The sequence below is a fragment of the Homo sapiens genome, chromosome 3 (assembly GCF_000001405.40).
Source record: "Homo sapiens chromosome 3, GRCh38.p14 Primary Assembly".
NCBI lineage: Eukaryota > Metazoa > Chordata > Mammalia > Primates > Hominidae > Homo > Homo sapiens.
In genome coordinates, this window is record NC_000003.12 from 27,039,742 (window position 1) to 27,066,842 (window position 27,101).

The following is a 27,101-nucleotide window of genomic DNA, read 5'->3' on the forward strand; positions in this document are numbered from 1 at the left end:
AAGAAAAAATATTCAAAGACAAGAGTTTCATGATAGTAGAAGTCTTAATCTGTGAACTTGGGAAAAGCTGTTCACATCAAGGATGCCATCCTCTTCTTGGGAGAAATTTTCCTGTTTAGTTTTATCTTAAGAGCCCCAATGGGTGCACAGCTCCAAGAGCATGGAGGGACCCTTCTCAGTTGTGAGACAATGAACCCAAAGTTCAAGGTCCCAAAGTTTTGTTGTAGTGTGGATGGCAAGGACAGTCTTTTTCTGATGTTTCCAGAAGATTCAAGCCATAAAAAACTTTCTTTAACTGGTGAAATACAATGTAGCATAATAATCTACTGCTATAACATCAGCCCCCTTGCATGGGAAAGCTTTTATACAACCAGAAAACATGCATTGGAAATAATAATTGAATGAAATCCCTTTATAAAATGTTTAAATATTAAATGGCCAACCAGGTGACCAAATGTGAAGCTTTAATTGTTTTCCCAGGAATATGGGATCAAGCATTGGTTATAAACTATTTTAAACAATTTCACTATTCGCTGGTTTAACACTAAAGTATTTTCTGGATATTTAATTAACTGTTTGGTTTTACTTGAGTTAGTAGCTTTATACAAGGAAATTTGGTTATTTCTGTGGCCTACAATAACTTAACAATAACTATAATTGTGATTGGTGGCATATACTTAGACATTAGAATTTTAGAAATCCCATACAATTTTGGAATATATATTAGTATTATCCACAAAAATGTAATCTAAATAAGATTGAACATCATTTTGGCAATCCCATGTACCTAAACACATCAAATAATCCTGTTTACCTCTCTTCTGGATGTTTTCAGGGGTCCTATGATCCATCCAGAAACCAGGCATTAGGAAAGACAATTTTGTAACTGAAGTTTGATTTTGGAATTCCAGATTACCATAAATTATTTATTTTGCCAAAATGATGATTCAGAAATTTTAAAGAAGAAAAACCTTTTATAACCTTTATAAAAATGGAAACAAAAACATTCTACTCTTTTTACACACCTAACATGTAAAACTGTTTCTAGTAGTCTTAATTGCATGTTACAGTGGTGACTCAACAATTTTAACTTTAATGTAAAACCTGGTAAGTTATATTCTGATAGGGTTTGACTGTTTACAGTATAGCTAGGGTGTGGACAACTCTGCATGTCCAGGCCTTACCTAGCTGGAAAGCAGGCAAGTTAAACAATTTTCAAAAGCCAAAGCAGCAGTTTATCACCTTAAAGCATTTAGCAAACCTCATATCTGAACATAATTTAGACCACATGTTAACATTTTGAAGACAATTGTATTTTACCAATAATCTTTAAAACCATCTTTATTTCCGAAAGATTGCTAAAGTCACATGAAGTAAAAAGCATTACACTTTCTACTTTTCTAACAAAATATTTGATTTAAGCTCTTATTATTAATAAACCAATTAATTAAAACTTTACACAGCAGATAAACACTGGCTTTTACTTTATATTTAACCAGTTTGCACAGAGAGAAAGAGGCCAGAGACTGATCGGTAAGAAATTCTTACCCTTTTGCCAGCATGCCAGGTTTCTGGGTTCTCTCTCCCTAAGCAGCCCTGGCAACCCTGCTTGACTATATGTAAACAAACACACTGCCATGAATTAAGAATACTCACAAATACTTAACAAATTTTGAGAAATTAGGCAGAGAGAGAGAAATATGACTCAAATTCTATTTATGAGAGTATACTCAATACACTTAAAGTATCAGGAAGCCTAAAATCCAAAAAGTTAGTTAAAGATAAAATGCTGGTGTGCTCCATTAATCCCTGCAGGCCCAACAAAGGTAGCTTAGGAATTCCATATAAATGGAATGGATAATGACTTGCTAGAAATGCATAGGAACACAGAACTGAATAAAAACCTTCCACTAGGAACTATAAAAAATAATTATGGTTTTATACATATGCATACACAAGCAAAGCCAGAGGAGAATAAATAGCAAGTGAATGAAAACTAGAAGCAAAATAAATAAGCGGAAAACCAACCCTAAATTTTCCTACTCAATTTACCCTGGAGGCTACAGTGTTACCTAGGGCCCCGGAAAACCTAGATAATGAATATTTTATTACTAATACACAATATCCATAAGTTCAGTAATATTATCATACCTCCTGTGCAAGTAAGAAATTCACTTTAGGCACATAACCAATAAGTACTCCAGCACTATCCATGCAAAACGGTAAACATAGTGTGAAGCAATGCAAGCGTGTATGTAAAATTTGACTCCACACTAAATCCAGATTCATGCTTAACTATATTTAAAAAAATTGTCAAACTTCTGATGCATTTTCACAATACTTCTTACTTTAATCAAGACTAAGAGCTTTACTGTGGAAATATTAGTCAAATGTTTCCAGTTATTTATCGGGTTTTAAAGAATATTTTATTATCTAAATTTTTCCACATCTTTCTCCCCTACTTGATGGTTCCTTACTACATTGTTTCATAAATAACTTTTCAAATATGTAATTTGAGCCAACTTTTAGATGACTTCTGAATTAGACAAAATTATTCTTTTTCCACTCATAACAAAACCCTTTCTGGCACATTTTGTATACAGAACTACGTGTTAACTAGAATTTTATCCTTAGTAACATAAAGCTTTAGTGAATCCCTAAAAAGCAAGAAATCCTGAACTATTAGATATGGGCATTTATACATAAGAAAAATTCTACAATTTTAGAAACATATTTCTTCATATTGCAATCCTTTCTTAATTGGAAATGATTCAGATATTAAATGAGCATCAAAAATAACTTTACAGTTTTAATTTACACAAAAAGTTTACCTAAAACAACTATCCTATCACTGTCCTTAATTTTTTACTTTTAACAAGGGAGATACGATACATCAACATACTTAAAATGAACATTGGTTTGGTCCAGAAAGGCAGGACAATTTGAGGCAAGGAGGCTTGGGGGCTATCAGATCACAGGTAGGAAACAAACGGTTGTTTTCTTTTGAGTTTCTGATTAACCTTTCCAAAGGAAGCAATCAGATATGCATGTATCTCAGTGAGACTTTGAATAGAATGGGAGGCAGGCTCACCCCAAGCAGCTCCCAGCTTGAATTAACACTGACATTTTAAAATATCTAGCAAAGACAAACATAAAATTCAGACAAAACATATGCTGACAATTCTAAAGGCATTTCTATTTTTCTTCCATCAATAATTTTAAAGCTAGCTTGTTTAGTAAAGTGATACTTTAAGTCACGTGAACTTGAAAATTGCTTAGACTCATTTACTAATTTATGAGTGCTCTTTTACTTATAAGCCAACTTGGTAGACACAACATGTAACAGTAAGTGTATATACAAATAAACATATCTAGACATGTATACACACACATAAACAAAGATCTAATAGCTTGAAACCTTAGCCATGAGACAGCAATAGAAGCTTCCCAGTTTTACTTTGCCCCAATAGATAATCCAATGAAGGCTGCGAACCAAAATTTTGGGTAAAGCAGTCTCCATGGCAGTTTCATTTTTAAAGGCCAAACCTCCCCAGACTCAAAAGAGCACTGGGACCAAACCATACCAAAGGAGGGCATCACACGTTAACCAGGCCCCCTGCTTAGAACCACAGTACAAAAGCCCGGATATATGGAATACCATTCCACTTTCCCATTAGACAGTAAACTCCAGATTCCAAACAATGCTAGGGCCAAGCAGCATTGCAACTGTGAGAGAAAATTCTAAGGAGGGCTTAATACTAGACCTCAGAACCTGTGCCAAGAGTGTCCTCTTTGGAGTGGTTGGGTTCGCAGGACCCACGGAGCGTCCTCCTGTGGGGTCCAGTCTTAGAGTGCCAGATGTCTCTGACCTTAGGTGGACACCACATGCAGATTTTCCCCTCCAGAACATACTGTGAGCTTTATAAGCATAGCCATGAACTGTAATGAGAATTGGATGCTGGGTGGGCCTTTTTGTTCCTTAGCCAGTTGAGTACAATGAGGGAAGAATTTTGCATAAGAAAAGAAAGTTTAAGTCCCCTGAAACACGTGTGAGTTTGCTTGGATCAGGGACCATGCATGGAAAACATAAAAAGAAGTCCTTCCCTCTTCGGGGCAGGGCAATTATAAACAGCTACTGAAAGACTGAGAAAGAAAGAAAAACAAACAAACAAACGAAAAAGACCCAGGTTCCTTAAGTGAACTGGGCCATGGTGGTCAGGCTTCTCCACATGAAAACCCCTTAGTTTCACTGGCCACAGCCAGAAAACTGCAGTTGCTTCCATGTTTAGCCACTGCCCACCACGGGTCCCAGGTTGGAAAGGAAAAGAGAGAGAAAGAGGTTCCCCTATATGGAGCAGAAAAGAAAAGGAGAAAGAAGAAGAAAGCCCAAATTTTGGGCTTGTCTCTTCCTCCCGGCTGGCTCACCAAAATATGTTAAAGGTGGAGGGTGTCCAGGTTCTTGGTGTCTTGAACAAAGTATTAGACAAAACGCACAAACAAAGCAAGGAAAGGATGAAGGGATTTACTGAAAATGAAAGTACACTCCACAGTGTGGGAGTGGGCCCAAGCATAGGAGCTCAAAGGCCCCATTATGGAATTTCTGGGAGTTTAAATATCCCCTAGAGGATTCCACTGGTTCCTTTAGGTATGCCCTATTTAAATGGAGAGGATGAATTAAAGTTACAAAAGTCATTTATGGTGTATACCCTATGGAGAGGATATTTCCTGTTATAGCTGAAGTGTGAATAAACCTTATGTTCCCTGCCTCCAGACCCTATTTTCCTGCCTCAATTTTTCTAAAAGAAATATATAAATATACAATAAATACTATATTGGCATACCACTTATAGGACATGCATATAAAATATAGTGTAAGATCATTCACCAGACACCTGGGTGGACAAACAGCTCAGTAAATAGACAGCTAGACAATAAGTTAGAGAACCGAGAAGGAAATATAGCAAAACAATAACAGTGATATTTTCTAGGATGTATGCAAGAATTATATGTGACATTAATTTTTAATTTTTTTAAATCTGTGTTTTCTAAAATGAACTTGTTTTACTTGTATTAAAATAGTTACCAAAAATTTTTATCTCTAATAAATTATGTCTATTAAATATCATTAGTCCTAGAAAATTTGCCATGTAAAACCACAACTTGGGGTAGCCGTCCTTCTTGCATGAGTCTCCCTAGTAGCTGGGGCTACTCTAGACTCCTAAAGCCTGTGTTAACACACAGCTTTTATGTCCTTAGTTTCTTCTATGTCACTGCTTCCAGATCTTGGAGGCTTAGTAAAACTTGTAACTTCCTTACTGTTATATTCATTTGTATATGCAAGAATTTTTCTCTCCAAGCAGCCCCCAGGCCATTTTGTCAATCTGCTAATCTGTCCTCAGATTTCATGCTACTTGGCACAAAAGTACAACATCGGAACTTGTAAAAGTAACAGTAGCCCAGCCTGGAGGGCCCATGTTGTAGGCAATAAATTTTCCTTCCTGGGTCTGTCTTTCAAAGCTTTCACTCCCTTAAAGTACACATATTTACATTTCCAAATGATACCATGTTATAGAAAATACCGCATGATTGATTGACAATAGCCCTCATGAGGAAGTTGTTCAACTCATAACAGACTTGTAGCAGATATAAAAGATGAAAAGAAAGGCTTTCATTTTTGTTTTGTTTTTGAAAAATATATATGCTATTATGATATCATTGTGCTTTTTTCTTTGAACTATTAATAGGAGAATGATGGCATTCAATTTGGAAACATCAAGTTATCCTGGCACTTGTGAACCCAAAGTGTCTGAGACAGGTCTCAATCAATTTAGAAAGTTTATTTTGCCAAGGTTAAGGACATGCCCGTGACATAGCCTCAGTAGGTTCTGATGACATGTGCCCAAGGTGGTCAGGGTACAACTTGCTTTTATACGTTTTAGGAATACATGAGAAGTCAGACACTATGTGTAGGAAGTACATTGGTTTGGTCCGGAAAGGTGGGACAACTCAAAGCAGAACTGGGTGGGGGGCTTCCATGTCATGGGTAGATAAGAGACTAACATGCATTCTTTGGGGTCTTTGATTAGCCTTTCACTGAATACACAATTTACATGTGACAGGAGAATACAGGAATAGTCACTTATGCTTTAGTCTGGCTAGGTGAATTTGCGTTTTTACATAAACACTAGAGCAGAAGAAGCAATCAGATATGCATTTGTCTCAGATGAGCAGAGAGATGACTTCCCCACACCTGTGAAGATAAGCTATCAGTTTACATTACCAGGGTAAAATTCAGCAGAACTGTCTCAGGGTAACGATCTTGAGGGCCCCCCCCCCAAGTAATTTCCTTGTGGACAAATTGTGAAGGAGGTATGCAGCTTTTTAAAAAAAATCTTTATAGCTATGTTATTTAGGAATAAAATGGGAGGCAAGTTTGCCTGATGCTGTTTCCAGCTTGACTTTTCCCTTTGGCTTAAGAGGTTTTAGGGTCCTGAGATTTCTTTTCCTTTTACTCATTCATGAAATAAAACCCAAATAATCATGATGTGGCACTAATCCCATTTGAATTATTTTATTAGGATTTTTTGAGTCAATATTTATAAATGAGACTGGTCTCTTCTTTTCTTTTTCTGCTAGCCTATTAAAGATATATTTTTTCCTTTTTTACTATTAAATCAGTGATTCTTAATTTCAAGAAAAGATTGATTCTTATTTAAGTCATAGAAGCAAGGTCTGAAACAGGGATTCTGTGCAACTGACTTATTGAGGGATTTCTCCCCAGAGAAACCTGTAAGACAGGAATGGAAGCAGGATGATGTAACCAAACAGCTTAGCAGCTTAGCCTCAAACCATGTTTAAATTTCTTTTTTCTTTCCCCTTTTCTCCTCCCCCTACTTCCCAGTCTTAAGATAAAACCTTGAGACAAAGTGCATGTATTTTACCTTTCATCTTGAAATACAGCCTCAGAATGAGCTGTGAACCTCCACTCCCTTTCTTTTCCCATTCTATTCTCATTTATTTACCTAGATGCTTGCTAAGCACACACCATACTCACTTATCTGGTCATATAATACAAAAATATTTCCTTAGAAGTTTCAGGGGCTAAGTCCTGATACAGACCAACACCTCCAACCTTGATGACACCAGATGAAACAATAATTCAAGATGAGCCATCAGAGTGGGTCATGCCACCTGACATAGCCTAGCCCGGCTGCCTCTCCTGCATTCCAAACCCTCTCTTTAAAAACCTCCGCATTCCCTCCACAAATGGAACAGTGAAAATTTTTGGAAAGAATACACCCACTCCTCCCCTTGCTAACATGGGTAATAAAACTCGCTCTCTTTTTATCACACCTCACTCTTGCTATGTTGGCTTCTTTTTACAAATGGCAAGCAACCAGACCCTTTTGCCAGTTATAATAGGACGAGGGGAAGAAGTATGTCAAGCTCCAGTTCACGTTGCACTCTAGACTACCCAGTCCCACAGGTAACACTAACACATAAATGATATCACAGAACGGTCCCATTTCAAGGCAAGGAAGATGGGTTTATGTACCCTCACTACAGTTAGTCATTTGATGTGGGCTGTCCCAGGAGATAGGGTACAAACTCTCAAGTATTTCTGGGTGAAGTAGCTCCCAGAGGCCATAAGCAGTTCTCTGAAAAGGGGGGAAGTGTAAGCCATTAGCTGCCAAGATTCACAGCAGCCCAGAGACAGGTACTCTGGACCAGTATAGGAGATCTAGGTGGGGCATTTCCTTATTTTTCTGTGCTCTGCAACAATTTAAATATAGTTAGAATAATCTGTCATTTACAAGACTCAAAGAATTTTCCCATAGAAAAGTATGAAATAGACATTTATTGATTGGAAAGATCTTTAATCATTTCCAGCTGTGTCTTTGATAATTGGTCTACTCAGATTTTTCATTTCCTCCTAAGTCAGCTTTGCTCATTTGTATTTTCTTTAGACCACTATCTATTTCATCCAAGTTTTCTAAAATTGTGTTATAAAGTTACACATTGTCAATCACCAGAATTCTTTTGATTTGTTCCTTTAGCTGGGCCTATCCTCCAGTTGGGGCTGCCACTGTGTTGTCCCTCTCTTTTTGGCAATTTCTGCCTCCTGAATTACAGGGAGTGCCTGTTCCCTTTGAGAGGGACTTTTTGATTCTTGAAAAGATGACCACTTGATCCCACTTCTGGAATTCATTTCCAAGTCATATTCTTTTTTTCTTCACCAAAAATACCTACTATTTTAGGTATAAACATTTACATATTCCCTTTCAAGCACACTCACTGTGTTCAGCCTGGAATAAAGTGAGCAAAGAAGAAATACCCTCCCCCTTAATCTTGGCTAGCAGTGATGCTTGCATGTCAATGTGTGACAAAATGGAACAAATCCACTCTTTCAGTGTTCACTCTTTCCCAAGGCCTTAGTTAGGCTGGACCTGGGGTCAAATACTAGACCCCTTGCTATGCTTAGAGCCTCCTAAGGCTTTATTAATGGAGGTGATGGTCTCTCACTGTCAACTTATCTAAGCTGGAATGACATTTCCCATAATTCCCTTATGTGGCTTAAGGTTAGGGTGCTCTACTGAGATTTACAAGAGATTTGGAAGGTGGAAGTGTATCCATGGCAATTTTGTTAAGCTCTGAAGGTGAGTGTGGGGCCAGGTGCTGATGCAGCTGATGCACATTGTCACTGACCTGTGGGTCCACCTCGCTGGCAAGGAGCGGCAGTGGGCTTACGGCTCTTTCAGCTCCTTCCAGATCTTTCCTTCGGCTTCCCCTAATCCTAGAGCAGATACATTTTCAGCTCCGTTGAGAAGGGCATCAGCGTCTTCTGCAGGTTGCCCTTGTCTTTGCGATTATATAAAGGGAGGGACAAACATGGATTCCAGCTCATCTTTGCAGGTTTTAGTTTGCCCTTGGTCTCTGCTATTTCATTTCCTCTTCCCTTACCAACTGCCATTTTGCAGACACAAAGGGACCATCCTTGCATAGACTGCTTATTAAGTTTCCAAGATTATGTGGGGCCCAATCCCTTGGAATTCACAGTTTTTATGATTGATCCCTGACTATTACAAATAATCAAGCTCATCAAGCATGTCTCCTTCTCATCATAAGGTGAATTTTTGTCTGGAAACTTCCTTACAGCCCCTGAAAATACACTTCTCCTGGGCCAACTCATAAATTTGTCAGATGCTGAAACCCATGGTGGGTCCAGTCTAGGCTGGAGTTGAGATTTCTTTGCCATGTGTATTGTTTCAACTAAAACTCACAACCCTTTGATGCAGGTATTATTTTTCCAATATTATAGACATAAAAATCATAGCTCACAGGTTAAGTGGTTATCTTAAGCTGACACAGTTAATAGGACAAAAGACATTTGCATTCAGGTCTCTCTGAATATAGGCAAGCACTATACTTTTTTTTTTTTTTTTTTTTTTTGAGATGGAGTTTTTGCTCTGTTGCCCAGGCTGGAGTGCAATGGTGCAAACTTGGCTCACTGCAACCTCCACCTCCTGGGTTCAAGCAATTCTCCTGCCTCAGCCTCCCAAGTAGCTAGGATTATAGGCACCTGCTACCACACCTGAATAATTTCTGTATTTTTAGTAGAGACAGGGTTTCACCATATTAACCAGGCTGGTCTCGAACTCTTGACCTCAGGTGATCCACCTGCCTTGGCCTCCCAAAGTGCTAGGATTACAGGTGTGAGCCACCACGCCCAGTCAGCAGGTGCTATACCTTCTATATCATGTGCAGAAGCAGTCAAGACAGAACTTGAAAAAAGATAATCAAAAGGAACAGTGCAAAAGTTCATAGGTCAGAGAGATTTCCCCCCATTAACTCACTTCTTTGAAGTTCCATACTCCTACTCTGTCTTTCCCCTCAGCCCCCAACATCTCCCTTTCAGCGGTGTGGGCCTCCATTATATCTTAAACTGCAGGCAACCAGAGTTTCGGAAATCTGGCCTAACCATTTCAGACACTTCTTTGTCCATGATAATGCTAACTGGAGATGCTCTTGACCACCATTCAACTTCACACAGCCTCTGATTGGTTCCTTCGTCCTTATCCATGTTTTTTTTTAAGTTGCACCTTCCTAACCTGACCTTTCAAGCATCATACAGTTTTAGAACAGAATGTGACCTCAGAGATAATTTCAGATACAACCTCTTTTTACTGGTAAGAAAACTGAACTCAGAGAGGGGAAGTGACCCTTTCAAGGTCATACCTTGTGATTGACAGTCAATATAAAGGGGAAACCCACTGTGTGATTATTCTTAGCAGCTGAGGGAAGTGCCAAAGAGTATAGCTGTGGAAGTGACGTGAATTTAGTACATTAAAAGATAGATTACCCTACTAACTTCTGAGAAGAACATCAAATACCTTCAGGCCTGTTACACTGAGCAGAACATTTTGCCATTGTCATACTTTGTTTAATCCCTCTGCCTCTAATGCCCACAAGCAGTCAATTTTTTTCCAATGTCACAGCCAGCTATGCTCTAACATTTCAGCAAATTTAAAAGTAATTACCTCAATAATGGATTAGTTGCTGAGTTTAATCATTCTGAAAAAGTACTTGGCTTTTCCATTTATGGAATAATAAAATGTTGCATTCCTACATGGCCTATCATTTAGAAGTTGCTAAAAATGGCAGGTCTTTGTTGACATAGACTGACATTAACAGCAGAAAGCAAATAGATGGATGAAGCCAGGGTATCCACTATAGGGAAAGAAGGCTGGTGACCAACAAGGAGCAGATTCTACGATTATCTAGGTAAGGGGTAACAGCAAACAAACAAAGCAAATCTGACATCCTGAGTTTCCTCAATAGACAGAATTGAATGACTAATATCTAATCAGTAGTTTCATAAATCATAGACTCACCCTCTTTACACCAACAAGATTTTATCTAAGTTCTCAATTTCTGCTAATCACAGTGAAATTCCTCACTAGCTCTGTTGAGTTCCACCTTGGGCAGAAATTAGGTTTTCCCTCTATCTCCATTCTGCACAGGATTCTCAAGCCCCCTACCCTATCTCTAGAAGGTGTGCAAGTATCTAGCATAATTACATTTCATATTATCTCTAGGTGATATGCTGGCAGTATATCCATTAACTATGTTCATACTAATGCTGTGAAACAAACTGACCCCAAAATTATAGGCTTAGAACAACAATAATGTGTTCTTATGAATCTGTGAACTGGCTGGCTCTCTCACTCATTCTGCAGCTCTCTGTGGGCTGGCTGATCCAGGCGAGGCTCAACACTCATCACTGCTCCACATGTTTCTCATCCTTCTCCTTAAGACTAGTAGCTTGGCATGTTCTTATGGTGATAGCAGAGACAGAAAAGCTGTTGCAGGAAGTCAGGGACCCTGAACGGAGGGACTGGCTGAAGCCACGGCAGAAGAACATAAATTGTGAAGATTTAATGGACATTTATCAGTTCCCAAAATTAATACTTTTACAATTTTTTTATGCCTGTCTTTACTGCAGTCTCTGAACATAAATTGTGAAGATTTCATGGACATTTATCACTTCCCCAATCAATACTCTTATAATTTCTTATGCCTGTCTTTACTTTAATCTCTTAATCCCATCATCTTCGTAAGCTGAGGATGTATGCCACCTCAGGATCCTGTGATGATTGTGTTAACTGTACAAATTGTAAAAACGTGTGTTTGAACAATATGAAATCAGTGCACACTGAAAAAGAACAGAATAACGTGATTTTCAGGGAACAAGGAAAGATAATCATAAGGTCTGACTGTCTGCGGGGTTGAGCAGAATAGAGCCATATTTTTCTTCTTGCAGGGAGCCTATAGACAGATGTGTGAGCAGGAGAAATATTGCTGAATTCTTTTCCCAGCAAGGAATATTAATAATTGATAACCCTGGGGAAGGAATGCTTTCCCAGGGGTAGGTCTATAATTGGCCACTCTGGGAGTATCTGTCTTATGCGGTTGAGATAAGGGACGAAATATGCCCTGGTTTCCTGCAGTGCCCTCAGGCTTACTAGGATTGTGAAATTCCAGCCTGGTGAATTCTAGTCTGACTGGTTGTCTGCTCTCGAACCCTGTTTCCTGTTAAGATGTTTATCAAGACAATGCATGCCCAGTGGGACATGGACCCTCATCAGTAATTCTAATTTCACCCTTGCCTTGTGATTTGCTCTGCCCTCTGCCTTGTGATCTTTTATTGCCCTTTGAAGCATGTGATCCTTGTGACCTACTCCCTGTTCGTACATCCCCTCCCCTTCTAAAATCCCTAATAAAAACTTGCTGGTTTTGCAGCTCAGGTGGGCATCATGGAACCTGCTGATATGTGATGTCAACCCCAGCGGCCCAGCTATAAAATTCTTCTCTTTGTACTCTTCCTCTTTATTTCTCAGACCGGCCGACACTTAGGGAAAATAGAAAAAACACCTACATTGAAATATTGGGGGCTGGTTCCCCCGATAAAAAGCAAAAGCAAATATTCTTGAGACCTAGTCCTGGTCTGGATATCATCATTTCTACCTTATTCTCTTGACCAAAGTTAGTTACATGGCCAAAACCAATGTCAAGAGGCAGAGAAGTACTCCTTGCCAACATTGGGTGGGCACTGTAAAGTCACATGGATAAAGAGAGGGGTAAATAACTGGGACCAATAACACAGTCTACCACAACAGGGTTATATGGGTTCTATGCCAGAATACTTTCTGCTCTGTTCCTAGTGCTTTGAGATGGAAATTCCTCATTCTAACCCCCACTCTAATGACTTTTTCTATTTCCTCACCAGTCTTTTGGAGTTTGTTTTTATAGTCAGAGGCTATATGAGCAGATTTGTTACATGAATATATTGCCTGATGCTAAGGTTTGAGCCTCAGTTGAACCTGTCACCCAAATAGTGAACATAGTACCCAATAGGCAGTATTTCAACCCTTTCCTCCCATCACTTTTGGATTCCCCAGTGTCTATTGTTTTCATATTTATATCCATGTATACCCAATGTTTAGTACCCACTGATAAATGAGAATATGAAGTATTTGCTTTTGTCTCTGCTTTAACTCTCTTGGGATAATTAGGCCTCTAACTGCATCCATGACATGATTTTGTTCTTTTTTATGGCTGCAAAGAATTCCATAGTATATATGTACCATATTTTCTTTAGCCAATCCACCTTTGATGTGCACCTAAGTTGATTTCATATCTTTTCTGTTGTGAATATTGTTGCAATAAACATGGAGTGCAGCTGTTTATTGCATTTTTTAGTAGAATGATGTATTTTCCTTTGGGTATATACACCAAGTAATGGAATTGCTGAGTTGAATGGCAATTCTATCTTCATTTGTCTGAGAAATCTCCAAACTCATTTACCATCTCACCAATGATGTTTAAGCATTCCCTTTTCTCTGCAACCTTGCCAACATCTGTCCTTTTTTGACTTTTTAAATTATGGCCATTCTGACTGGTGTGAGATGGCATCTTATTGTGGTTTGATGTGCATCTCTCTGATGATTAGAGATGTTGAGCATTTTTTCATTTTCTTGGGCAATGGTTTGTCTTTTTTTGAGAAGTGTCTATTCATTTGCCCACTTTTTAGTGGGGCTGTTTGGTTTTTTCTTGTTAATTTGTTCCCCATAGATTCTGAATATTAGTCTATTGTCAGATGCATAGTTTGCAAATATTTTCTCCCATTCTATAGGTTGTCTGTTTACTCTGTTGATAGTTTCTTTTGCTGTGCAGAACCTCTCCATTTTAATTAGGTCTGAATTGTCAATTTTTTGTTTCATTGCATTTGCTTTTGAGGACGTGGTCATAAACTTTTTGCTTAGGCCAGTGTCCAGAAGGGATTTTCCTAGGTTTTTTTCTGGGATTTTTTTTATAGTTTGAGGTGTCACATTTAAGTATTTAATCCATCTTAAGTTGATTTTTGTATATGGTGTGGGGTAGGGGTCAAGTTTCATTCTTCTACATATGGTTAGCTAGTTTTCTCTGCACTGTTTATTGAATAGGGTGTCTTTTCCTCACTATTTGATTACTTTGTCAAAGATCAGTTGGTTGTAGGTATGCAGCTTTACTTCTGGGTTCTCTATTCTGTTTTGTTGGTCTAGATATCTATTTTTACCAGTATCATGCTGTTTTGGTTACTGTAACCTTGTAGGATAGTTTGAAATTGGCTAATGTGATGCCTCTGGCTTTGTCATTTTTTGCTAAGCATTGCTTTGGCTATTCAGGCTCTTTTTAGGTTCCATATGAATTTTAGAATAGGTTTTTCTATTTCTGTGAAGAATGATGTTGGTTATTTCATAGAAATTGCATTGAATTTGTAGATCACTTTGGGCAGCATGAACATTTTAACAATATTGATTATTCTAACCCATAAGCATGGAATGCTTTTCCATTTGTTTGTGTCAGCTATGACTTCTTTCAACAGTGTTTTGTAGTTCTCCTTGTAGATATCTGTCAACTTCTTGGTTACATGTATTTCTAGTTGTGTGTGTGTGTGTTTGTCTATTGTAAATGGAATTATGTTCCTGATTTGGTTCTCAGCTTGAATGTTATTGGTGTATAGAAATGCTACTGAGTTTTGTATGTTGACTTTGTATCCTGAAACTTTACTAAAGTCATCAAATCTTTTGATGGAATCTTTAGGGTTTCCTAGATATAGAATCACAGCATCAGTGAAGAGAAATAATTTAACTTCCTATTTCCCTGTTTGAATGCCTTTTATTTCTTTATCTTGCCTGATTACTCTGGCTAGGACTTCCAGTACTATGTTGAATACAAGTGGTGAGAGTGGACATCCTTGTCTTATTCCAGTTGTGAGAGAGAATGCCTCCAATTGTTGCCCATTCAGCATGATATTGGTTGTCAGTTTGTCATGGATGGCTCTTATTTTGAGGTATATTTCCTTAAATGCATAGTTTGTTGAAGACTTCTGTCATGAAACAATGCTGGACTTTATCAAATGCTTTTTCTGTGTCTATTGAGATGATCATATGGTTTTTATTTTTAACACTGATTATGTGGTGAATCACATTTTTTGATTTGCATATATTGAACTAGTCTTGCATTCCAGAGATAAAGCCCACTTGATCATGGTTTCATCTCAACATGATTTTTGATGTGCTGCTGGATTTGGTTTGCTAGTATTTTATTGAAGATTTTTGTATCTATCTTCATCCGGGATATTGGCCTGTAGTTTTATTTTTCTGCTGTGTCTTTGCCAGATTTGGGTATCAGAATGATCCTGGTTTTCTAGAATGAGTTAAGGAGGAGTCCCTCTTCCATAATCTTTTGGAATAGTTTAAGTCAGATTGGTACCAGCTTTTCTTTGTATGTCTGGTAGTATTTGGCTCTGAATCCATCTGATCCAGGGATTTTTTTGGTTAGTAGACTTTTTATTACTGATTAAATTTCTTAACTCATTATTGGTCTGTTCAGGGTTTCTGCTCCTTTATGGTACAATCTTTGGAGGTTGTGTGTTTCCAGGAATGTATCTATTTCCTACAGATTTTCTAGTTTGTGTGCATGGAGGAATTCAGAATAGTCTCTGAGGCACTTTTGTGTTTCTGTGTGATCGGTTGTAATGTTACCTTTGTCATTTTTTATTGTCCTTCTTTGCACCATTTCTCTCTTTTTCTTTGTTAATCTAGCTAATGGTCTATTAATCTTGTTTATCCTTTCAAAGAACAAACTTTTTCTCTTGTTGATTCTTTGAATGATTTTTTTTGGTCTCTATTTCATTTAGTTCTGCTCTCATTTTAGTTATTTCTTTTCTTTTGCTAGCTGTTGGTTTATTTCGTTCTTGATTTTCTAGTTCCTTTAGGTACAATGTTAAGTTCTTAATTTGAAATCTATCATCTTGATGTAGGCATTTAGCACTATCAACTTTCCTCTTAATTCTGCTTTTGCTGCGTCTCAGAGGTTTTGGTACCTTGTGTCTCTATTTTCATTTATTTCAAAGAATGTTTTCATTTTTGCATTAATTTCATTGTCTACCCAAAAGTCATTCAGGAACAAATTGTTTAGTTTCCATGAATTTGTGTGGTTTTGAGGGTTCCTCTTGGTATTGATTTTTATTTTTATTCCACTGTGGTCCAAGAAAATGCTTGCTGTGATTTCAGTTTTTTGGAATTTGTTGAGACTTTTTTTATGACTGAGCACGTGGTCAATCTTAGAGTATGATCTGTGTGCAGATGAGAAGAATGTATATTCTGTGGTTGTTGGGTGGAGAATTGTGTAGATATCTATTAGGTCCCATTGGTGAAATGTTGAATTTAAGTCCAGAATTTCTTTGTAGTTTTCTCCCTTGATGCTCTGTCTAATGCTGTCGGTGGAGTATGAAGTCTCCCATTATTATTGTGTGGCTGCATAAGTCTTCTCTTAAGTCTAGTAGTAATTGTTTTATAAATCTGGGTGCTCCAATGTTGGGTGTATATATATTTAGGATAGTTAATCTTGTTGAATAGAACCCTTTATCATTATGTAATGCTCTCTTTTGTCCCTTTTTTTTTTTTACTGTTATTGATTTAAAGTCTGTTTCATCTGACACAATAATATTCACCTATGATTTTTTTGTTTTCTATTTACATAACAGATCTTTCTCCTTCCCTTCACTTTGAGCCTAGGGGTTTCATTACATGTGAAATGGGTCTCTTGAAGACAGCAGAAAGTTTAGTCTTTGTTTTAATCCAGTTTGCTACTCTATATCTTTTAAGTGGAGCATTTAGACAATTTATGTTAATATTTAGATTAATATTTAGGTTATTAGGTTAATTAATTAGGTTAATTAGGTTAAATAATTAGGTTAATATTTAGGTTAATATTAATATGTGAGGTGTTCTTTTTGACATGGTGTTGTTATCTAGTTGCTTTGTAGTCTTGATTATGTAGCTGTTTTACAGGGTCTGTGAGATATGTACTTACACGTGCTTTTGTGGTAGCAAGTATCATTCTTTCATTTCCATGTTTAGAATTCCCTTAAGCGTCTCATGTAGGGCTGGTCTGGTGGTGATAAATTCCCTTAGCAATTACTTGGCTGGGAAAGACTTTATTTCGCTTTCATTTATGGAGTGTATTAGGGCAGGATATGAAATCCTTGGCTGGAATTTCTTTTCCCTAAGAATGCTGAAAATAAGTCTCCAGTCTCTTCTGGCTTGGGTTTCTGTTGAGAAGTCTGTTGTTTTTCTGATGGGATTCCCTTGATATGTAATATAGCCCTTTTCTCTAGCTGCCTTTAAGCTTTTTTTCTTTTGAATTGACCTTGGAAAGTCTGATTACTATGGACCTTGGGGATGATCATCTTGTATGTATCTCAGAGGAGTTCTCTGGATGTCTTGTATCTGCATGTCAACCTCTCTAGTAAGATTGGGGAAATTTTCCTGAATTATATCTTCAAATATGTTTTCCAAGTTGTTACATTCTCTTCTCTCTCAGGAATGGCAATGAGTTGTAGGTTTGGTTGCTTTACATAATCTCATATTTCTAAGAGGCTTTCTTTGTTGTTTTTAATTCTTTAATTCTTTATTTTTGTCTGGATTGATTTGAATGACCAGTCTTTGAGTTCTGAAATTCTTTCTTCTGCTTGGTCTAGTCTGTTATTAAGGCTTCCAACTGTATTTTGAAATTCTTCCAGTAAATTTTTCAATTCCAGAAGTTCTTTTTGGTCCTTTCTTAATATAGCTATGTCATGTTTCAAATCTTGGATTGTTTTTCTGGCTTTGCTAGATTGGATTTCAACTTTCTCTTGGATCTCATTGAGTTTCCTTGCCATCCATATTTGGGATTCCATATCTATCATTTCAGACATTTCAATGTGGATAGGATCCATTGGCAGGGAGCTAATGCAATCCTCTGGAGGTGATGAAACACTCTCGCTTTTTGTATGGCTGGAGTTCCTGTTCTGATTCCTTCTCGTCTGAGGGAGCCAACACTTCTTGTTCTGTTTGAATTTGCTGTCATTTGGATGGGGCTTTGTATTTTTATTCTTTTTTCCCTTGAGTGTATGACTATGGGGCATGTTTTATATACAATTGGTTGGCTTTGTTTCTAGATTCTTTCAGAGGGCCAAAGCCCTATATGGGTTTCCTTGGTTGCAGATAGGTTCATGCAGTAGGTTTCAGATATTGCTTGATTTAGCAAAGTATTTTTGTTTGATGGTATAATTCAGGGTACATTCTAGTAGATAGCAAGTAAGAGTAAATTAAACAGATAGGCTGAATTAAACAGATAGGCTCTTACTCAGCTGCACTTGCCCTCAGTGGGACAGCAGTGCCAGAGAAACATGAATAGGGTACTTTATCAGCTCACACTCACTTTTGATGAGGGTGGAGCCACTAGAGAATTATGAGAAGCAGCCTCTTTCAGTACATGCTTACCATGCTCCAATGGGAAGAGCCACTGCTGCATCTGCAACAGTGCACTAAGGATGGGAAGTGGGGGATGAGAGGTGAATTTCTCTTCAAGTCCGGTCCCAGACCTTGATGATGCCCCCTTCAGCAGTTGCTGCCTGCCAGTATTTCCTTTGTCCCAAGGTGAGGGCTTTGGTGGGCTGTGCTCCCCCAATCCCTTAGAAATAGTCCACACTGAGGCTTAGGTCTCCAGGGGGTCTAAAACTCCCCTCAGAGACCCACTGGTCCCCTGTGCTTGCCAAAGTTAGAGCAAGTTGTGAGGTCCATATCACTCTTTATCTTTGCTTTTTCACTCTTTATCTTCATTTTTAGTTTTCATTCTATCCTTTCTCTCCCCTTCTCCCAAAGCAGTCTTACTGAAGTCTCTCAGATGGAAAAACCAACTTCATAAGCTTGCCCCTGAAAATTCAAGTTGCACATATCTTAAGTCTTCATTTTTTATTCATTAGGTGGGGAAAACAGGGATTCATCTAGATTTAGGTCCAGATGGATTCAGGCTTTGTATCTCTCTTCATCTTACCAGCTCTGGTCCTCTCTGTGTGCCATTATTCTTTAGACAGCCTCCTTCCATTAGTAGGCAAGATGGCCACAAAGAACTCCAAACTAACATCTGCCAGGCCCAGCACTTCCTCTCCCAAGGTGTGTACATCAATCCTGGTGACATCTATGATGATAGGCTGTTTATTAGGCATCAAATGTGAGCAAGAGGAAGCCAGAGTAAGCCCAAAGGATATTTGTGAGGCATTCCTCTGAGACTGCAGAAAATAACATTCACTTTGAAAAATTATTCAAATATTAAATTAAGTCATTTAACAGCACTAAAATCTTCAAATTAAAGAAATATTAAAAGTAAGATAAAAGATTAATGGTGACACTTGTTATAAAGTATTACTCTTCAGCTCACCTTTGACACAAGTAAAAGGAGAAATTGATAATGAAATTTAAGAATCATTAAGTGTATAATCCAGAAAATTCCAAATATCTTACTATAAGATTGGATCCTCGAGAAAACAAAAAAGTACATACTTGAAAAAGAAGTGAGCTTTTCCCCTACATGTTTCCTTTCCCATTCAGTTATGTGAGTTAACATGACAATCACGTTTTTATATTCTTTAATATTTCCCTATTTCAAATAGTAAAATCAAATTAAAGGTAACCATAATAAAGACAACATAGTTTTTGCTTCTTCCCAAATTTCCACATAAAAATGAACAGAGCAACTAGACACCAACACTAAAAACCAAGAACAATGCTTACGACAAAACTACACTCCAAGGTTTCCCTCAAATACAGCCAGGTCCAACCATTGGAAAGGCAAATAAAGGAATCACAAGTCAAATAGCTAGGGACATCCCTGATGCTCAGGCTTCCTTTTCCACTCTTGACCAGGAAATTACAAGATGAACTGTAACCTTCTACCAGGTAGGAAGATACCAAAACCCAATAGGTGGATGTGGAAATGGAGTCATGAGCCAACATAATGAGTCTCCTGCTGGCCAAATTTGGGACAGTTTGAGCTTCAGTAAAGATAAGAATTGCAAACTCATCAAATATTTTAAATTCATGAATTAATAATAATAATAATATCAAAAATTGGTCCTATTCAAAGGATGACAGAAAACAAATTCATTGTTTTTGAAAACTGGCAATTAAAGGGAACAAATTAAGGATCCATTTCACCTTTCCTAGGTGAACTGTACCACTGGGTAACTAATTAGTTGATGAAGGAGAAGTATCTCTTTATAAAACAATTCCGACTAGTAAGTGCAAATAAAATGATAGAATATCACCATTTTACAACACCTAAGTAATTAATGGACCTAGGCATCAATTCCTGCTAAAAAGAGAGAGAATAAATGAGACATTATGCACCTAATGATAATATATATATATCATCTAGAGTCTAGTCAAAGGGTGAAGTTAAGTCTGATAAAATTTCATTCCACTGTACATTTATAGGAAATACAGAAGGATGTAGTTGAACTATACCATGGTTATGCAATCCATAACATCCAGACTGCAAAATTCTACAGGTCAAATGACACAGGTGTTTCAGCAGTTAAATTGTAAGAGAAAAAAAAAGATGAAAGGTGAATCTCCAGATTTAAAAAGAGACTTAAAAAATTGTAACAGAAAAAAAAAAAGATGAAAGGTGAATCTCCAGATTTAAAAAGAGACTTCAAAATTTTTTTAATGTAATGAGAAAACTCAAACTATTATGTTAAGGAATGAACATTTGGGATATAAAACCATTAAGAAATGCAAGAAAGTTTTATTCAAAAGTTGTCAGTGTTTACTTTTGGAAAGAGAGAGGGCCTATGATTGGAAAAAGGCACATAGAAGCTTCCTGGGGTGCTGGCAACATTCTTTGTTGACCTGGGCAGTGGTTTCATGGGTGTTTGCCTTATAATAATTCACTGAGCTATAGATTTGTCTTCTGTGGTTGATTTTATCTACTTTTTAAAGTAAACAAAAAGGTGAACCAATTACTAAAACAATAAAGGTCAGTAAATAGAAATGGAAAGTAAAATAGTAAAGTCAAATTAAATTCAAAGTCATCTTTTAACTGGAAGACCAAAGTCGACGATCTTACAGCAAAAAAAAAAAAACAAAAAGAAAAAGAAGAGACAGCAAAAATAATACCCTAGAGACAGCAAAGCATTAGAGAGGAAGTTGCCAACAAGAATTCACATTCTAATCTCCAAACAAACACAAAGAAAGTAATAATATAGGTACTTTTTCAAATAAATTTTCAATGAATTTAATCAAAAAGTTGAAGATTTCCCCCTTACTGTACATGCCTGTATTCATAAAATGGGAAATAAAGTCCACTAATTGGAAATGTCCTTTTTCACCAGCTTTTCTGGAACAGCTCTGTTGTGGGAGGCCTGCAATGCATTTATCAGCCCTCTTACAGATGCCTCTCAAACTCTGCAATAAGCCATTCTCCCATAGTGAGAATAGTGGCTCCTTAGTGAATCAATTTAAACTAAGTAACAAAAATCGGCAATTCAATTTGTCCATCCTGTGACCCTTCAGGGTAGAAGGGGTTTACACCTCATCCTTTCTTGAAATAAGTTGCTCTTATCCCAGGTCAGCCAAAAAGGCTGAAATTTGAGTTCTTCCCCCAGTGCGGGTTATAGTAGCCCTGTTCAGTTTTCCTAACAAAACCCCTCTAAAAGCACAAGATGAGAAGTTTAGAGACCGTGCTAATTGTGGTGTAATTAATGGAGACCTTTCTTTGCCCATTCTGGTATCCACACCCTTTTCCATCTAATTGGGCAGTTCTTCCCACCTGAGCAAAATGTATATTCCCTCCACCTTTACATTGGTCTTGGCCATAAGAATGGCTGGGAATAAATTGTGGGGAAGAGTAACAATGTGCCAATTTCAAGCCTGGACCTTAAAAGCATCATATGTTTCCTTTTGGCTTCCTGTACTTCTGCCATTGACATGAGAAGAGTTCCCTCAGGTGGCTGCTGCCACCTTAGCCTGGGCCTCTGTTACATAGCAATCACTAACTGATACACAAATAATGCCAGTGCAATATGTGACTAATTTCTCCTTCTTTAGAATTGCAGCTTTGGCATGACTTGTACCACAACTGAAAATCAAAAGTGTGTCATTTTCCACAACATGTATCTCCCTATTTTACCTATTTTACCCTGTCCCTCGGCTCTCTATTGCAGACTGAAGGAAATGATAATGCAACCCAGTCTTGAGCAATAAAATTGTGTTCATTTTAGCCCTCATCCCTGGCCTCACCTTTTATTCCTTTTCTCTTGTCCTAATTGTGCAGTTTTATAATTCCATCTCTCACATGGCTTGTTGAGTATAGTACATGTTATTCCTCACATTGTCTTTTGCCTTTCTTCCTAGACAAGAGTTGGGAGTAGGGTGAAGAGAGAAAAAGGAAGAGAAAGCGTTTTGCCATTCATATTCCAGTTCAAACTGCATTCCACCTGCAGCCCATTTTGTCATTTCTCAACCATCACTCTTACCTGTGATTCATTTTTGCATGTTTTGTCATTCTCAATTTTGAAATTTCAAGACACTGCAGAAAAACATGTCAGGCAATAAAGAAGATTCACATAAGGAAAAAGCAATCCTGTGTTCCTCAACCAGATGTCTACATTGCAAGGCAGTGAAATTTCCAACAATCCTGGAGACAAACACACTGACACAAAAAGACATCCAGCTGGGACTCCTTTGCTGTCAGATGCCTATATTTCTACCTTCATTGTGGAAGTGTGGGACTCTTCCTCAGGGAAAGCCTCTCGCTACAGAGAGCTGGGCCATCCAGCATCACCACCCAAAAAGAGAGTGGCCCTAGTGACAGGTGCCACCTTCCCCTAGAAATTTCCCTTCTCACCTTTTTTTCTGGTTGAATTACAGCCTGATAGCTACCTTGGCTGGACTTCACATACCTGGTGCTCCAGAGCAGTGAAATCTCATGTATGGAACATCCCATATCTTTGATTCAGGGAATTCTTTGGATGATCACTTACTCACAAAGACTAAACAAAAAATTGTGTGACTATATCATCAATTTAGAACGTGCCAAAGTACCCGTATAAGTCACTGTCTTTAAATCTACCATTTGGTGACCACAGAAATGCTTACTGAGGAAAGGAAACTGAACATTAATTGGGTGCCCACTATTTCTTCAGTACTTTGTATACCTTCTTTAATTTCATTCTCATCACACCCCTGTAAAATATGTATTTTTATTCCCATTCTACTGATGAGAAAGATGAAGGTGCAAGGAGAGTCCGTTAACTTGCCTGAGGTCACATAGCTGGTAAAAGATGAAACTGCTCATGGGGAAAACAGAACATCTCTCCAATTTCACAGAGTTATTGTAATAAGAAGATGCATGATTTTATACGATATCATCTGGTACTTAGGTATGCAAGAAATGTTCATGTCCTCCTCCTCATCCCCCACCCCTACTTAACATGTAGGACTCTATTCATTCACCCACTCATTCATTCTTTCACTAAACTCATACTGAGGACCTTCTCTGCCAGAAACTGTGTCAAGCACCAGGAGGCCCTGCCCTCGATGATAGATACAGAGATAAAAAGGATTTACTCTCCAGGTTACACACAATACACTCAGTCGCTTTTCAGGAGGGCCTCTTGATTAATAAGAGCTTAACTCTAAATATTGACAGTGTCATCTGTCAGATCATTTTCCCACCCAGGTTTCCTGGTTACTCCAATGTGGGGATCAATCCCAGCTTTCTTTCCTTAGGCTGAAATGAGTTGTGATTTCCCCTGGGGAGAAGGTGGATGTGTATTTAGTAGAAGAGTAGATGGTCTCCAGTCAAGTTCTCCAGTCTTCTGCTCATTATGTCATATTGACATGGAACTGTTTAATTTTATCTCTTGTCTACAATAGTGAATGGGATAAAATCAAGTCAGATATTAGTTCAAATCAAGGTCTAGTTAATTCCTAATTAGCTTATCATGGTTGCTGTGTGTATAAAAGGCAGACCCTAATGGCAACTGCTTAAACTTCACTTTGTCTCACTTTCAGTTATTTAGATCTTTCTATTTTCCACTCCATAGCAAATCCTGCTAAAGCTCAGCATGGGCACTGGACCAGCAGGCAGATTTTAGCTGCTCAGGTTATGCTGCTGATGTCCTGCAACCGCAAGATACCCAACCCACCTCCAGCACCAGGCTGTACTCATGCTCCTCTCTCTCCCATACTTTGACAAGGCAGCCCTCTGACTCAATGCTACTCTGCCACTATCTCAGGCTCATATCAATCTCCTATTCATTCACTCATTCATTCAATTAACAAGTCTTTATAGAGCATTCACCTGTTGTCAGCTCTGTGCTAGGGGCTACCAGCAAAGAGAGGACACATCCCTGAGCTCAGGGAACTTTTGGCACAGTTAGAGAGGCAGATAATTCAACAAGGGCATGCCAAGCCATGTGACTGGAAATATGCTAAGGAAGATAAAAGTGCTATGATGGCATGCAATAGAGGAGCTTAACCCAGTTTAGGGAGAGCTGAGTTGACTTTCTAGAGGAAGTGACATTCTAATCATACACCTAAAGGATAATTCAGGGTTAACTGAACAAAATGAATATGCTTGGAGTAGAGGAGCATGAGGGAAAATGGGGAATAGAGAGAATGTCCCATGAAAAGTCCCCAAAGTGAAAGACAGATGGTGCTCTTGAGAAATTTTTTGTAATTATAAGTTCAATATTTTTGAATAGGAGAGTGGACAAGATAACTTCAGAAGGTAAGGAGACTTCTTCAAATCTCCTTGCTCCCCATGAGAGTATTTGGGCTTAATTATTAGCCAGGATCCCAACACAGGGCACGCTAGAGTGACATTGCTTATCCGTACCCTACTTTTGGAATCCTGGTTCATTCCTTCTATCCACATGCCCAAGGCCAGTTCAGGCAGTGAAGATTATTTTCAAAGATCTTAATTGAGGTTTTTATCACTTCTCTGTTAATATAGCTGTTATCTCTGCCTCTGTCTTCTCCAAATTCTGTCACATTGACCTCACTATCCTCAAAAAACTATGTAGTCTAGTGGGATGGATTAGATGTACATACTAGGTAACCCTTATGAAATAAGATACTCATGTGGTTCATTCTCAGGGTAATTCCAAGATTTAAAAAAAAAAAAAAACAGAGTGATGCAACTTAGATGAATTTTTAAGTAAGTCAAGGTGTTTCTTGACTTAAACACTAAAACTGGAGTGTCTTAAATGCAGAAAACAGGATCCAAAGACAAAATATATAGAAACACTTATTAAATCTCCCTTCTTTACAATCCACTTAACCTCACATGTCACTGCTAATCCAGCGCTTCTTTTTTTAAACATTACTCTCATACCCCTGTCCCACCCCTGATTTATAAAGTTTATTTCTCCAAGAAAAGAACTTCTTCCCCAGATCTAGCACTCATGTTCTCTTTACCTCTCTCTCTTTTTCTGTCTCTGTGGTTTAGCTTGTATCTGTTTGGATGCTTTGAACTATAACAGAAAATATGACTAAAAGTGGCTTAAACAGTAAGGATGAGTATATTTGTAAGAGAGCTCACTAGATTTCTAACAAAAACTTTTCCCCATATTTGGTTCAGAGATACACTATGTCTCCCAGCCTCTCTTGAAGTTAGATGAAGTTGTCTGTAAATTTTTATGTTCTCTTCAATAGAATATGAGTGGAAGTCGTATGTCACTTCCTGGCCTAGCCCATAAAAACCTCCTATGTGGATTTTCCCATGCTATTTCTCTTTCCCATGACTTGATGCAAAAGAGAAGGCAGAGCTACAGATGAAAAAACCCTGAATCCCTAAATGACCATGCGGAAAGGAAATATCCTCACTGACTTGAATACCACTGACCATTACATGAACAAGAAGTAAGCAATTACCTTAAGTTACTGGATTTAGGGGGTATAAATTTTTTATAGACACTTAGTCTACCCTAATACATTATTTCACTATACAAAAGAAAAGAGATAGGATTGAGTTAGCACCTCAATTGTGGATTTTCTACTTGTTCTGCTCTGCTATGTTCTCCTTGGTGTGTTGGCAAAATCTCCTACCATGGCTGCAAGATATCTGTAGCTGCAAGCATAATACCCTCACCCAATATGTATGGAAGCAAAATTAGAAGGAAGATCTATATATCCATATCTATGTCTATATGTGTCTATCTATATCTCTTATTGGAAAGTAAAACTTTCTCTAGGACCCCTCAGCAGACTTCCGCATCTTCTCACTGGCCAAAACTGAGTCTTATGTTCTCTAGTCATTAGTAAAGGAATTGAGAGCACCATGACTAGATAAAGCTAACTCTGATTTTTCCCCTATATTAGTTCCTTCTCACACTGCTATAAAGACATACCTGAGACTAGGTAATTTATAAGAAAAATGGTTGAATTTGTTTATGGTTCTGTGGACTGTACAGGCTTCTGCTTCTGGGGAGGCTTCAGGAAACTTACAATTATGGTGGAGGGTGAAGGGGAAGCAAACACATCTTTACACGGTGTCAGGAGAGAGACAGAGAGAAGGGGGACATGCTACACACTTTCAAACAACCAGCTATTGTGAGAACTCTATCACGAAAACAGCAAGGGGGAATTCCACCACCATGATCCAATCACCTCCCACAAGGCCCCACCTCCAATACTGGAAATTATAACTCAATGTGAGATTTGGGTGGAAATACAGAGACAAACCATATTATATCCTAAGACTGGAGAAATACCTCCTTAACTAAGGGCGCTGATACCTACCCAATTCCCAAAATGGATTCTGTTAGCAAAGAAGAAAGAAGGAACTGGTGTTACATAGACAATCAGAAATATGACCCAAACCTGCTTCTTCCAAGTATCCAAATTCTATATTATGAAGGCCTAATGAAGTAGTCTGTCATTAAGAGGATCCTAGTAGGAATTATAAAATGCAGATAGGCAAAATCTAAGTTTCTTTAACAGAATGGGGTAATGGGCTGGGAAGTCTAATAAATTTATAATATCTGTTGTGCTATAAATTATAATGCAGGGCATATAATACTAAATGGTATAGACAGAAACACGGATAAAGGACTACAGAAAATTAAAGGTGAAAAAGAGCCTACAATTGGAAAGATTGAAGGGGTCATTTGAACCAGGCCTTAAGAGATCATCATTACTTAATAGAAATATGGGAATGAAGTTCAA

The 27,101-nt window shown here is 37.9% G+C and overlaps 3 annotated features.

Annotated features, from left to right (window-relative positions):
* Positions 2,746 to 3,310: an enhancer, noted in NCBI's record as "OCT4-NANOG-H3K27ac hESC enhancer chr3:27083978-27084542 (GRCh37/hg19 assembly coordinates)". NCBI's record gives its function as "activates a minimal SCP1, AML or CMV promoter by ChIP-STARR-seq in naive and primed H9 embryonic stem cells {active_cell/tissue: H9 hESC(naive and primed)}" and the evidence as "EXISTENCE:reporter gene assay evidence [ECO:0000049][PMID:30033119]".
* Positions 3,311 to 3,874: an enhancer, noted in NCBI's record as "OCT4-NANOG-H3K27ac hESC enhancer chr3:27084543-27085106 (GRCh37/hg19 assembly coordinates)". NCBI's record gives its function as "activates a minimal SCP1, AML or CMV promoter by ChIP-STARR-seq in primed H9 embryonic stem cells {active_cell/tissue: H9 hESC(primed)}" and the evidence as "EXISTENCE:reporter gene assay evidence [ECO:0000049][PMID:30033119]".
* Positions 3,875 to 4,439: an enhancer, noted in NCBI's record as "OCT4-NANOG-H3K27ac-H3K4me1 hESC enhancer chr3:27085107-27085671 (GRCh37/hg19 assembly coordinates)". NCBI's record gives its function as "activates a minimal SCP1, AML or CMV promoter by ChIP-STARR-seq in primed H9 embryonic stem cells {active_cell/tissue: H9 hESC(primed)}" and the evidence as "EXISTENCE:reporter gene assay evidence [ECO:0000049][PMID:30033119]".